This window comes from Homo sapiens, chromosome 3 (assembly GCF_000001405.40).
Source record: "Homo sapiens chromosome 3, GRCh38.p14 Primary Assembly".
NCBI classification, from domain to species: domain Eukaryota; kingdom Metazoa; phylum Chordata; class Mammalia; order Primates; family Hominidae; genus Homo; species Homo sapiens.
This window is the reverse complement of record NC_000003.12, coordinates 76,357,431-76,371,892: the sequence shown is the minus strand read 5'-3', so window position 1 is coordinate 76,371,892 and position 14,462 is coordinate 76,357,431. Positions and strand designations below refer to the sequence as shown.

General features: G+C 34.5%; 1 protein-coding gene across 29 annotated transcripts in view; it reads right to left on the bottom strand.

Moving 5' to 3' along the window:
- ROBO2 (roundabout guidance receptor 2) overlaps positions 1-14,462 on the bottom strand; it is a 1,743,290-nt gene that overhangs the window by 1,278,072 nt on the left and 450,756 nt on the right. The window lies entirely within an intron of this gene.

Genomic DNA, 14,462 nt, shown 5'->3' with positions numbered 1-14,462 from the left:
TATTCTTTAGTGCTGGCTTATGTACTGATATTATGGAAAACCTAAGGGAATCTTCGTGGTGTGATACATGCAATGTGAATTCCTTAGTAAATTTAATATTATAGTAACCATTCTGGTTTCTAGAAGTGAAACAAGTTGATATGGTCAAATAATTGCCAGGAGCCAGAAGTAATGATGTAAACCTATACATTTTTTAAGTGATGTTGATGTTATACAAAATCTATAGCAGTCACAGTTTGAAAATATCAACTTGAAAATATGTCTCATTCAAATACTAGAGTAAACATTTGATATGCAGCTAATCTTTAAGTTTCTTGTTTTGCTTTTTCTCACATCAGCAAATGTGCAGTCAATACAGTATGTGCAAAGACTCATATACAATTACGTATATAACAGATTGTAAATACCCTTTCACTTTATTCAATGTGCAAATACTATAGTAAACATTTGATATGCAGCTAATCTTTAAGTTTCTTGTTTTGCTTTTTCTCACATCAGCAAATGTGCAGTCAATACAGTATGTGCAAAGACTCATATACAATTATGTACATAACAGATTGTAAATACCCTTTCACTTTCCTCTGATTAAGATATTTTTATGTGCACAGAATATTCATGAATAAACACATGATACCCAAAGAAGGTTACAGATAGGAATAAATCATCTTTATTTTAATGAAGCAAACTTCTTCTTGCACTTCTAACCCTTGTGCTCAGATTAAAGAGTAAACGAAAGCACTTCCTAGACTAGTTTCATAAATGTATACACATACACGAACACACACACTCACATACTTGGATTCACTTGTGTGTCAGCCCTCTGCCAGAAAATGTCCAGGATGCAGGGACTATGAGTCTAATTATGTAACTACTCATGGGGGAGGCATCCTTTTCTAGGGTGAGTGCAATGAGAGAAGGGTACATAGGTTATCATGGGGATGCTGGGGGAGGAATGAAACTCAACCTAGCAGAAAGAAGACTTGGGAAGGAAATGACATATGAGTCCGCACCTGGCCTAGTGCCTGGCTAGAATAAACACTAGAGAAATTTTTGTCTAGTAGATTCTTGAAGATGCATTGAAGCAGTTACATGTAATTAGTATGGACCTTCATACAAAATCAATTGAATTACCTCATTTTATTTTTGTTGCTGCCCTAGAAAAGTATGCCTTTGGTGCAATTATTTTGATCATTTTGATTTAGTATTGTAATAATTTTTAATTGTTAATTGTGACAAATGAAGAGCTCCTGGCAGGACAAGAAATGTCAGCTCCAATATTCCCTTATTTTCTTATAGAAAAGTCTTGACTCTGTGGTTTCTTTGTATGTACTTTCTAGGCCATGGGGTTATTTGTGATGGTTAGTTGATGGAAAATTCTAATAATATAATCCACTAATTTAGTTAAGCAGGTAAAGATAAACTACCATACACTGAAAGAGATTTAATAAATGAGGACATTATGTTCAAATTTCCCTCTGTGAAGCATTTATTCTTTCTTCTTGATAATGCAAATTCTTTCGAGTCATGTGAATTGAACTGACATATTGAGCAAGAAATCACACCAATTCCCATCTGCATATTGAATACAAGAAAAGCTCAAATTATTCCTTACCATTTTAGAGAAAATAAATAGAATTTCTAAATCATCTTTTTGGCCCACAATGCATTATCTTGCATGCCCCAGGGAATGCAAAGTTTCCACTGGTCTGGAACCAAAAAAAAAGAAAAATTTATTGCTACCCAGTAGGTATACACACACACCTGAACCAGTTGGATCATATCTGACTTTTACTAAATGCAAAGCTCTCTGTAATATTCTACATAGCATGTTCTATTTCATTAAAAACACTCATCGAGATCTACTAAACTAATTGTATAATTTATTAATGAGTGTCTATCTGCAGTTTTAAAAATATTGTTCTTGGCAATGGAGAGACATTGAAAGTTGTGAAGCATAGTGGTGTTACTGTCACGTGTTCAGAGTTCTTTCTGGTATGTGAGTGGACACAAGTCTAGGTAGAGAAACAAGTAAGAGGCAGTTGTAATACTTCTTTCAAAAGATAATATTAAACAAATCAGAGCAGTGTTAGTAGGAAATGAGAGGAGAGTTTTAAAACCCAGGAAATATTTAGTATGTATATCAACAGGACTTTGTTATTTAAGGGGTATAAGTAGCTGGAGAGTTGCAAAAGGACAAGGAGAGAGACAAACCAAAGATAGAGCCCAGTTTTAGAACATGACTGACCTAATGAACGCTGATGTTGCCGAAAAGATACAATAAATGTGAGAGAACGATCCAGGTTAGGTCAAATTTGAAGCATCTATCTACTCAGAGATATATAGCTGGCATTTGGCATTTGGACGTTAGATCTGAGGTTCTGCTAGGAATTCTGAGAAAGAGATCTAACTATGCAAGTCATCAGCATAAAGGGGTTATTTATAAGTGTGAACAAAGATGACATCACCCAAGGAGATATTGCAGAATGAAAATAGCAGACCCTAGTGGCAGAACTCTGAAGAAAGCTAATTATCTACAGACAAAGCAAGAGGAGTCTCCAGAGAAGAGAGCGTGGAAACCGGGGAACCAGGAGATTGTGACAACTCGGAAGGCCAATGAATGATTTCCAGATATAAGGAGGGATCAACAGTGTCAAAGGCATCAGAGAAGGCTGTTAATACCTGACCAATGAAGGTTCATTGTGTTCAGAATTACAAAGCCGTTGCTGAAAAGAGAGGCATTTCTGCAAAAACACCTGGGAAAGAAGCCACATTGCCATGGATAGAGTAGCAGGCGTGGAGACACTGCTTACATAGTACTCTAGTGAGAAGTTTGAAGGTGAATGGAACAGAAAAAAAATATGTAATAAAAGAGTCCTACGGAGTCAAGGGAAGGTTCTTTTATTGTGAGAGTTTGTTTTGTTTCCATTTTTGTTCACAAGTAGACTAACATTTTCTACAGTACATTGGGGAAGGGAATAAAACTGGTGAAGTAAGGTCTTAACGTCAAAGAGAGAGGATGTTTTCTCATAGCAAAATATACTCCTCTACATCGCAAGGTATCTTTAGTCTCAATTGGAATTCCTGCTATACATTCAGATTCTGAGTGGGCTCTGATTCAAGGGAGGGGAACATAGATCCCACGTCCTGATACAAGGAATGTATATTCTACTCTTAGACCAGTAGAAAATGGCAAAAGAGAAATCGTGCTATTTTCTGGGTCCAGGTCTTAAGAAATAGGCAGCTTCCATTTCCCATCTCTTGAAACGGTCAGTCTGGGAGCTTTTTGCTGCCATGTGAGATGTCTAAATGCTCTGACAGGATCATGCTGAGATGGTCAGGTGTAAATACTGTGGTCAACAGTCCCAGCTGAGCCCTGCCTTCCAGCCATCTCAGCCAAGGCATTAAGTTTGTGAGTAAAGCTGCTTCAACCTTCTGTATTATTTCTTGAGGCTGCTGAACAACAATTGCTGGCCTTGGTCAATGACATATAGAGTAAAAAAAATCACCCAGCTGAATCCTTACCCACAAAATCATGAACTATGATAAATAGTTTTTGTTTTAAGCTGCTAAGTTTTGGGGTAATTTGTTGGGCAGCAGTAAGTAATGGAACATATATTATAAAAAATACTGACTATTCTATTTCACATATTCACTCATGACTCAGATTAACTAATTAAATATACATGTTGTAAACAGGTACAGAAAGCATTTCCTATTCACCCCTCAACTATTTTATTGGTAATTATACACCTTACCTTTTTATTGATATGACACCTAAGGAAAAAAAATGATAGAATTTTTCAGTATTTGATTTTGTTTCATTCAATAGTAATATATGACTATTTTATTTTAAACATTAAAAATGCAATATTTACCATATTTAGGTTTGACACCAAAGAAAATGAATAATGATTAGAACATTAATGTTTTTTAAGGCACGTCTATACTTTTAAGTAATGTTTCTTTATAAATATAAATAATAATAAATATATATCACTGTGTATTGATAAATATTTCCTTGTTGATAACACATACTTCAAAAAGACTTGTGGAAATGAATTAATAATCTCATATTGCACAAAATTATCACGAAACCTGGTTACATCTTCTAAATAATGCTGCTGCTTCTCACAGTACTCATTTTGAAAAAGAAAATATCTGGGTAAGAGGCTTTATTTTCAAAGTAGATTATTTAGGCATTTTTTTTCTCATGGAAATTGGGGCCACTTGAACAATGTAAATGGTATAAAAAGCTCCACATGGTCCATTTTCCTTCATTTTTGTGTAGTTTCCTGCAGACTATAATAACAAATTGTTTTATGACTTAAATAACATTGAGTGTGAGCATTTCACTGTGGTAAATTTGGGCACAAACCACAGGAAGTTGTGATGCAGTAAATGGAATTTTTCCCATCGAGTCAGGGTTATCTCTAGTATCCCGCAATGTGCTAGGACTCATCCTGCTGCTGACATGAATTCTTTTAGGGAAAAGCCATTAAGAAAAAAAAATAGAGTCTGTATCTTCATTTTCAAGTTTTCCTCATCTCCTTATTACACTGAGGATGAAAATTTGTGTATATAACTACAGGCATGAGTTTTGTAAACATCTCTCAATAGAGAGGGGGACAAATGGGTAAATGAGAAAGTCTCTTTCTACAATTGTTCAGAATGTTAGATCAGATGATATTAGGAATTTTAACTAGTGGCAGGTAAATTGATTATTCCACATGATATAATAAATTTAAAGCAAATAATCTCTGTGCAATCATCTTCTAAGATAAAAGGCAGTTATTTTGACATTAAAAGGAACAAGTTTAGGAAATTAAAAGTTTCTTAAAAATGAAATTCATATAAAATTGCTTATGACATTATTTCTGCTTACATTCTATATTGAGTGCACACTAATTTGGCTAACAGTATTATGGGCAATGCTATTATTTTATTCTATTATAGTTTAAAACAAAATATGCTTTTGGTTATAATTTTTATTGCTTGGAATGCAATGAAAAAATGCTGAAAAATAATGCTATATAAAGCAATCTTGGGCTGAATTGCCCTTTTATTAATTATTATTTCTCTGCTTAATAAAAACTAATTAATGATAACTACATTTGAAGAGATATTTTTGTGTAAGTGATCATACATAGAATAATCTTTTTGGTGTATGGTTTACTATAAATATCTGAGAAAACAGAAACTTTTCATAATATGTGCTTTCTACACAGTAAAGAAATATCTTGAATTTCAAAGGATTACATACTATAAAGATTTTTAAAATTTAATCTTATGTAAGCAATTTTAACAATAGCATTACTAGAAGAGGAAGGCTAGTCTCTACTAATTTATATAAGAATTCTTACTCTGTTCTTTTTCAGTAGTGAATTCACAATTAACTGATTTAGTTAGATGAAGCCCAAAAGCAAAGGCTCATAAATCCTTTATTCAGTGGACAGATACTTGTTAAATGCCTAATATGTATCAGAGACAGAGTCATAAAAAAAATCTGAAGTATTTAACCTTGGGAAACTTATCCTTTAATGGTGAAAATATAGAGTAGAGATAAATAAATGAAATGCAGTGTGCCTGGTTGCAAGTGCTAAGAAGGATATTAGAGCAGGGTAAAGGGTATTGGTATGATGGTTCTAGGAAGAGGAGTATTCCACCTTAAATGGTTTAATCAGGGAAAATCTCTCTGAAAAGGAGACTGTTGGGAAGAGCAGAGTGAAATGAGCGAATTAGCCATGTAGACAGACATTCTCTACTAAGGAAATAGTAAGGAACAATGACATTCTATTTTCTTACTAAGAAAGTAGGATATGCAAAGGGCTGAGAAATGGGGAGGCCTCACAGCACATCCATGAGACCCAGCTACCTCAACAGATGAACCAAGGGAGAGGAAGGTGATGAGGGCAGAGACCTAGAAGGCCATGGTGAGAACTTTGAGACTGATTCTCGGGAATATAAGCCATCACCATGTTTTGAGCAGAAGAGTGACATTTTGTCTTTGGTTTTGAAAAGAACACTTTGGCTCTTCTGAATAATTAGATACATAATGTGGATTTATGTTGGTCGTTAATAACAAAGAAAAGTAAATTCCAATTTCTCATGTTGTGAATCATTATAAGAAAATGAGACAAATCCAGCTCAAAGATTCAATTTAATAGATAGTTTTCAAGATATTTGCAATACATTTTATGGATCTAATTGTACTCAATCTTGAGGTCTTGTCATTATCATAAGCCCTAATGTCAAATATGAAAATCAGCATTTCTCAATAGGGAATTCTGAAAAGTTCTTGGGTGATCTTCCATTAGCATCACTTTTATTTCCATTTATAGTCTTGCATGTCTTTCAAGGTCTAAATTGCTATTCATCTAGCTCTCACCCGGCTATGAGTAATTTCTAATAGACAGATCCCCAGTTAGCCTCTGCATAGCGAAAAGCATGTGATGTGGTAATTGAATCTCAATTAGCTTACATCATATCTCTTACAGAATTTCAAAACATGATTGTTACCATATTAAAGGCTCAGAGGAAAGAGGACAAGTATTTTTCTTTACAGTTTACTATGAACAGGGATCATCTACCTGTACAGGAATCGTATTTTTTATCAGATCAAAATAAAATGAAGCCCATAAAGAATAAGGTATCCTCTTCTATGGGCTGTCAGAAAATACCATTGGGCACAAGACACATTTACTTTGGAGTACAGATACAGGTGATACTACCATTCACAAGAAGCCACACCACAGGCTCTCTCTCTTCTCACTTTAGACTCTGTGATTTGCTTCAACTCTGAAAAAATTAGAATAAAGTGTGGCTTCTTATTAGAAAATCACTCAGCTGGCCTTACTTTAATCTCTCTTAGACTTGAGTTCACAAAGAAAACAGAGTGGCATTCAGGTAGACAACAGAACACCAGATAAGTTGGGGGCAAAGATAAATCCAAGCGAATTTATAGGAAAACAGGTAGAGAGTCTTTAGAATCAGATGAGATGCAAACTAATGGCAGTTTACACCGTAGGTTGCCCTCCCTAGTAGAATTTCTAACATACTATTTCTTTAAAAAAGATATTGTAAAAGAAGAAAAGTATTATTAAGATCAGCAGCCTACATGAAGTTTTGAAATTCTCAAGGAAAAGAGTTACTGTGCAGGTCTCAGAATAGTCACTATTGTTCCTTCATTTCTTCCAAAGTTTTCAGTGAAATGAACAAAAGGTTTTATGTGAAAAATCAGATATTTCCTAGGAATAAAACTTCTCACTATAACAAGAATAATAAAACAAATAATACTAGTCCAGGTATATTTTTTTTAATCTCATGAATTACAGCCAAGTTAAGTCAAAAATGTGAGATGAAGAAAGGATTCTACATAACCTGTACTTTTCAGTTTAACTAGTATATATTGAGTACCTATTATTTGACAGGCGTTATTCTAGGTTTTAGGAATACAGCTTTGAACAAGAAGTGCTTGCTTTCATGAAGCTCACATCTAATGACAGACACATCATAAAGAACTCAAAAAATCAACAAAAAAGAATAAAGAATATTTCAGATTGCAACAAATGCTGAAAAAAGAGTAGAAATAGAGAAAAACTGTGAGAGTTACTAGTTGAATTGGGTCATATTTTGGATTCAGGAGTCAGGGAAGGTATTCCTGGAGTGTCAGTTAAATTGAAATAGAAAAGACAAGAGGGAGTCTCTGAGAGGTGTTCTTGGCAGAGGACACGGAAAATGCAAAGCCCCTAGGAGAGACAAGTCTTCAGGCATGAAGAAAGCTGGCATAGCTGGAACATATAATGTGACGGAGGCAGTGGTAAGAATTGACTCAGTAAATGTAAGCAGGGATGAAAATTTGAATTTTATTTTAGTCTGTGGAAAAGCTTTGGAGAGTTTTAATCTGACAACAGGCCTGCTTTGATTGATGTTATATAAAAGTTACTGCCTGAGCTTTCTGTGACCAAGGTTTAAGTGGAGGCTTGGTTAGGACCATAGTTTAAGTAAAAGTCAAGGATGTCCCAGATTAAGAAATTTAAAGAGAGTGTTGGATAAAATATTTTAAATAAAATAAGAAATAAAACATTTAAAAAAAAAACTCTTAAGCACTTTCAAAACATCCACTAATACATGTACAATTAAAGTGCTAATTACAGATCATTCTGAGCCTTTGATTAATATTGGCTCCCTAAGGAGTCTTATTAAGCAAATATTTGTACAGTTAAGATTAATTGATTTTTTTTGACAAACAGGCTTTTTACAAGCATATGCACCAAGCATAAGAGAAGGATCATGTGCAGAACATTATCTCAGTTACCTAGATGCCTTCAGAGTCCTGGAAACTAGGAGCAGAATCCATTCAAAACACGATGCAAAATTAGAACTACCTGTTCTTGTTGTCATCTTTAATAATGCTTAAAAACTTTATGAAGATTCTGTTACGATATCCTTTAGATAAGAGAATAAACGTGGTGGTTTAAAGTGTGTTAAACATCTTAATGTTTGAATTGTTTTCTTTTGGTAGTGATATATGAGGCCAATTCATTCATTAATTTCTTATAGTTTCTCTTCTGATGAATTGCAAAAAGCCACTGTGCTAGAGGTTCAAGATGAGGCCAAGGAGTAAGACCATAAATTCAATGTGATACTGATTCCCTCTGTGTGTGCATGTGTGTGTGTGTGCCTGTGTGTGTGTGTATACTTTGTTAGCTGGCAGGTGAGACAAAAGGGGAAGAAGCTATATAAATTTTATCGAGTGCTACCTGCTGTATTATTTCCTCATCTACTTAGATCATTTGATCAAAATGAAGCAATTCACAAATTCCAAACACATTTACCAGACAAGGTCAAGGATATCATTTAGTGTAATTTCTATTCAGATGGCAGGCTGTAAAAAAGAAACATCGAAATAAAGGAAATGAAGGTACCCAGTGTATGTCGCCTGACCTGCCCCAAGACTAGCTCCCAGAAGGACAAGCAAGAATCAGCATACACAAGTGAGTGACTGGCGTAACAGTTTCTGTTGAACGACCTCAGAAGCAGCCCTCTTGCAAAAGATGAGGAAGTTTGGCGGTGGTTGGAAGGACGCTTCCTCACTCTGGCTACATACTAAATCTCAGGAACAGCAGCCACTCAAAGACAAGAAACAATAAGAACTAGGACATACTATTTCAAGGACTAGGATCAGATCCTAAAAACTGTGTTTCTAAAAGTTTCTTTGCCCTGTGCCTCTTGGGTAACATCTGCAAATTTTCGATGTAGAATATGCTCAAAGCAACATATTACACACATGTATTCATGAATTAATAGAGATTGAAGAATACTTCATATTTTTCCCCTTATAAATAAGACAATTCAAATCTAGAGAGGTTATTCACCTTACCTAAGCTAACACGGCTGATTAGTGATTACTAGGCCTTAGGACTTTAAGTTAATAAAATACTGTTTACAGTAAACTAAGCAACCAATTACCATCATGATCCCTATGATCAATAAAATCAGGTGTCTATAATATTCACTTTTTTTTAAGAGAAGGTCTTAACCCAGGTCTGTAACCCAGGCTGGAGTGCAGAAATGGAATCACAGCTCACAGCAGCCTCAACATCCCAGACCCAAGTGATCCTCCCACCTCAGCTTCCCGAGGAGCTGGGACTACGCAGGAGCCTCAACCCATCCAGCTAATTTTAGTATTATTTGTAGAGATGGGTTTCACCATGTTGACCAGGCTGGTCTCAAACTCCTGGATCCAACTGATCCTCCCACCTTGGCCTCCCAAAGTGTTAAGATTACAAGCGTGAGTCACTGCACCTGGCCAATATTCACTTTCTTAAGTTTATATATAGTGTGTTTATCATGGCATAAAACTTATTTTTTATACATTTACTCATTTAAATCACTCCAAGACTTTAAAAGATAATGTTTATTTTTAGCAAGGAACAAAGAATGATTTCAAACATCTATGCACAAGGAGTAATAAATCTAACACTTCAGGTTTTTAAAAGTAGCAGGCTTTCACTTTGTACACCTTACTCTTTCTTAAATATCAGAAAGAATGTCAGCCTTTTCATATAAAGACAGTTTACTTTTTGATATTTCCTGTATAATATTAGCAAATATACTTCACGGTGTGTTTCTTTTCAATTTCAGGATATAATGGTGAATTTCTTATGAAGATACTAGTTTAGGAGTTGGGCTCCTAATAAAAAGACCAGGTACATAAAGATTATGCATTTCTCTTACTATATTATCTGGTGTAAAATCAGAGTTTGAACTACAATGTTTACTTCATTATATGGTTCTTGAGTAATTATTAATTTTTGTTGTTTTCCCTAAAATTATGGTCATGGGCAATTTGAAAAGTTTTTGCTCTCAAAAAATACATTCTGCTTTCTTTTGTTTTACTCTTATTTTATTTCCATCTTTGAAGTATAAGCATAATGAAAATTTCAACATCTATAGGGTAATTTAAATCACAGTGCATATAGAATGCATAGGCACAGAAATAAATTTGGATAAATAGTACTTTCTGTTATTTTCTCAGCAATATCCCACTGAAATTGTGCTAAATATCATGAAATCATTTAAGTTGGAAAAGCACACATGGCATCTAAGAGTCCTCCACAAATCTTCCACAAGAAGTGTTGCTCAAGCCAGAGGCTTGAGTAGACCAAGCTACCCTTGCTTGCTGGTTTGATAAAACACTCAAGTGCACTGTCAGGGCCCACTTTAGACTGTTCTATTTTTACTTTGAGTTTCCTTTATCAAGAGTAATTCTAACTTGCAGCGCTTATGAAAACAATACAATGTTTTCAACATGTCATTACATGAAAAAAATTACTAATAGAAGCTGGTTGTATCAATTGAGATTTTGTCAGCTGCACAGTAACGACTTAACTAAACAGGATTTTTTTTTTCTCCTAATAAAAAGAGACAGAGGAAATAGGTAAGACCTGATATGGGAGCTTCACTATATCCTCACAAAGTCTTTTTACTTTCAATTCCACCCTCTGTGGAGTTTGGCTTTAATCCTCATGTTCACAATGTGGCCGTTCTGTCTCCAGCCATTGCATCCACACAGGAGAAAGGGGAGAGGCCAAGGGCAAAAAGCAAAAAGCAGATTCCAGCCAATTCTTTCTCCTTTTAAAAGCTTTGTAAGAACACCCACCGAATGACATCTAACGATATCCCGTTGACCAGAACTAGATCATATGACTATACCTGGCTTTAAAAATGTTAACAAGGTGAGCGTTTTAATTGAGTACAATGCTAAACTGGAAAAAAAAGTCTTCGTTAAGGAAACAGGAGCAGATGATATTGTTAGATGACTATAATTTGCCTCTCCTTCCCTTACTAAGCGAAAGTTTATTTTGTTTAAAAGTTCATTAACTTCTTTGTTATAGGAATCTTTGCTATTCCTACACATGTAATGCTTAGTAAGCCTTTCTTTTTTGTATCCAAAGTCAAATACTTTACATAAATTTTTTTAAAATATTCTTTTCTTCCTCAATTTCTGCACGCTTGGCCACCCCATATCTAAAATAACATTGTTCAACAATACTCTTTATTTCATGACAGGGGGTACAAACACTTTTCTGAAAGTGAAATGAATAAAGGGAAACTTATTGTTTTCTTTACTTGGGCCAGAATATTAAAGCTGGAAAACCGAAAAGAGATCTAAACTTTAGTTTAGTGACATGGATTTAGATAGTCACACAGATGGGTCAACTTCTAAACCATCATAAATTGGCTTCTCATCAGGGAGCAAAGTAGTTAGTTTCTCTGTGAGTTGCAGAACAGCCACATCTCTGTCCCAATTATATACATGCAACTTCATAGAGAACTACGCTGGTCATGGGTGAAGATTAATTATGGTAAACTTCTCAATCAATTCAGGGTCAAAGATGATAGCCATAAATTCATAAGCTGCATGCTTTGTTCTTGCTTGAAACTGGCAGCTGGGTTTACTCTATGTGTCATGTTTCTGTGTCATATTTAGACTGCATATAATGTTATAACTTTAGACTGGGAGAGTTCTCTCTATAATATACTGGCTTCCTGTACATTTCTTTAAAGAGTACAATCACTCAAGAAAAAGCTAAAAGTAGTCTTAGGAAGTAAAGGAAAGAGATAGCTACCAAAGAAATGACATATAATATATGAATACTATATGAATCAAATGACATATAATATATGAATACCAAGACAAAAAAATCCAGTAACAATACCAAAGAGTAGTGAATTACAGGAAAGATATTTTCCTTATGATAGAAATGATGTTGAGAAAAAAATCCAAGCCTGAGAAATATGTATAAAACCTGTATGGATCATCTTACCATTGTGCGTAACAGGAGGTAAAGGATCACATGTCCAGCGAGAAGCTTCACTAGTGCACTTAGGTTTTTAATGTTTCATTTTAAACTAAAAAGCCTTAATATGCTCTTAGCATTTACTTGTATTTGCTATTATAGGTCTAGGATAACATGAAATATCTAAGACAGAACAACATAATAGTTTCCTGTAATTCATATCAAGAATCATACTTGCACAAATAAAACTCATTCTTTATTACCTTTCAGATGAACGTCTCTTTCAATTTTAAAGCATCCTTTCTAGCTAAAAGGGCTCATTCAATATTTAAACAGCATCCAAGACACATGCACACGTATGTTTATTGCGGCACTATTCACAATAGCAAAGACTTGGAACCAACTCAAATGTCCAACAATGATAGACTGGATTAAGAAAATGTGGCACACACACACCATGGAATACTATGCAGCCATAAAAACTGATGAGCTCATGTCCTTTGTAGGGACATGGATGAAATTGGAAATAATCATTCTCAGTAAACTATCGCAAGGACAAAAAACCAAACACCGCGTGTTCTCACTCATAGGCGGGAATTGAACAATGAGAACACATGGACTCAGGAAGGGGAACATCACACACCGGGGACTGTTGTGGGGTGGGGGGAGGGGGGAGGGATAGCATTAGGAGATATACCTAATGCTAAATGACGAGTTAATGGGTGCAGCACACCAGCATGGCACATGTATACATATGTAACTAACCTTCACATTGTGCACATGTACCCTAAAACTTAAAGTATAATAATAATAAAATAAAAAAAATTTAAACAGCATCAACTTTCATCTTAAACTTCAAATTCTAATGCCTATTGTCTGAACCTAGACAGTTTCATGTTTAGAAACATATATATTGAGCAAATGTACATGTAATTACTCGTTGTCAATTCCTCTCCTTTCTCTTTCCAGCTATCATTTGAATCTAAAGAAAAGCTATGTAACTTACTCTTTAAATTGGAATTAGTGAATATCCTAACATGCTTTATTTGTAATACAACTAGGCATAGAAATATGTATTTATTGACTACTTTCTATGGACAAAGATGAATAAAAAATTTTCTCTGCCACCTAGCAAGTGAGTCTGAATAACAAGTTAGTACTCTAGTAAAAGGGTAAAACCAACACTATTAGAATGAAAGCAACAAAAAAGTCTCAACTCACTAGATGAGACAGGGAAAAGAGAGAAAATAGATTCCCAGTACTGTACACTTTAATATGTGGGAGAATGGAAGACCAGGTAAGAAACAAGTCTCAAGGACAGCTGGTGTCCTTTTTGGAGTGGGGAAAAATGAAGCAAATCTCTAGGATATGCAAAACCCCAAGTAAGGGGACTCTTACACAGTCATGGCAGACATCTATGAAGAGAGAAAGCTTGCTTATAAACGTAGTTTATTTCTAGGGAAGATGGGCTATTAGACTATATCCACCTCGGGGGGCTTTGACATAAGACTTAGAGTATTGTATCTTAATTACAGACAAATAACTTTTTATGTCCCCCAAAATAACTGATTGCTAGGAAAATTAAGCAAATAAACTATAAAGTATTATTTTGTAAAATAATACTCCAAAACATTTGGAGTGACATGACTGTTTTCTTTATGGGTAAGCATATTTAAAATTTATATATATATATATATTTTAAAGTTTAGATATAATTTTCATACTATTTGATTTGGTTTGATGTTTCTAATCTATTCAAAATTGTATTTAAATCATTTTAATTCTTAGTTATATATTGCCAAATTTTACAAATAAAATTAATTGTGGTTGTTTATCCTGCAACTTACTAATGTAGCTGGCTTTTGGGTAGATCCCAATGAGATATCTTCGTTCATAATCCTGTTATCTCTGAATAAAGGCAGTTTTGCTTTTGTTATTAAACGTTCAAGTCAATTAATCTTGATTGGATATATGTATCCATCATGTGAGATAAAATAGAAAACACTTTCATCACCATAGTGGGTTTTATTTTGTAACCTTCTAGCCAACCCCAACCCACAAAGGAATTCATTGTTGAGATTTGTATCACTAGATTTGTTTGACCTGCTTTTATAATTCATCTAGGTGAAATGATACAGTATTTACTTTTTTGAATCTGTT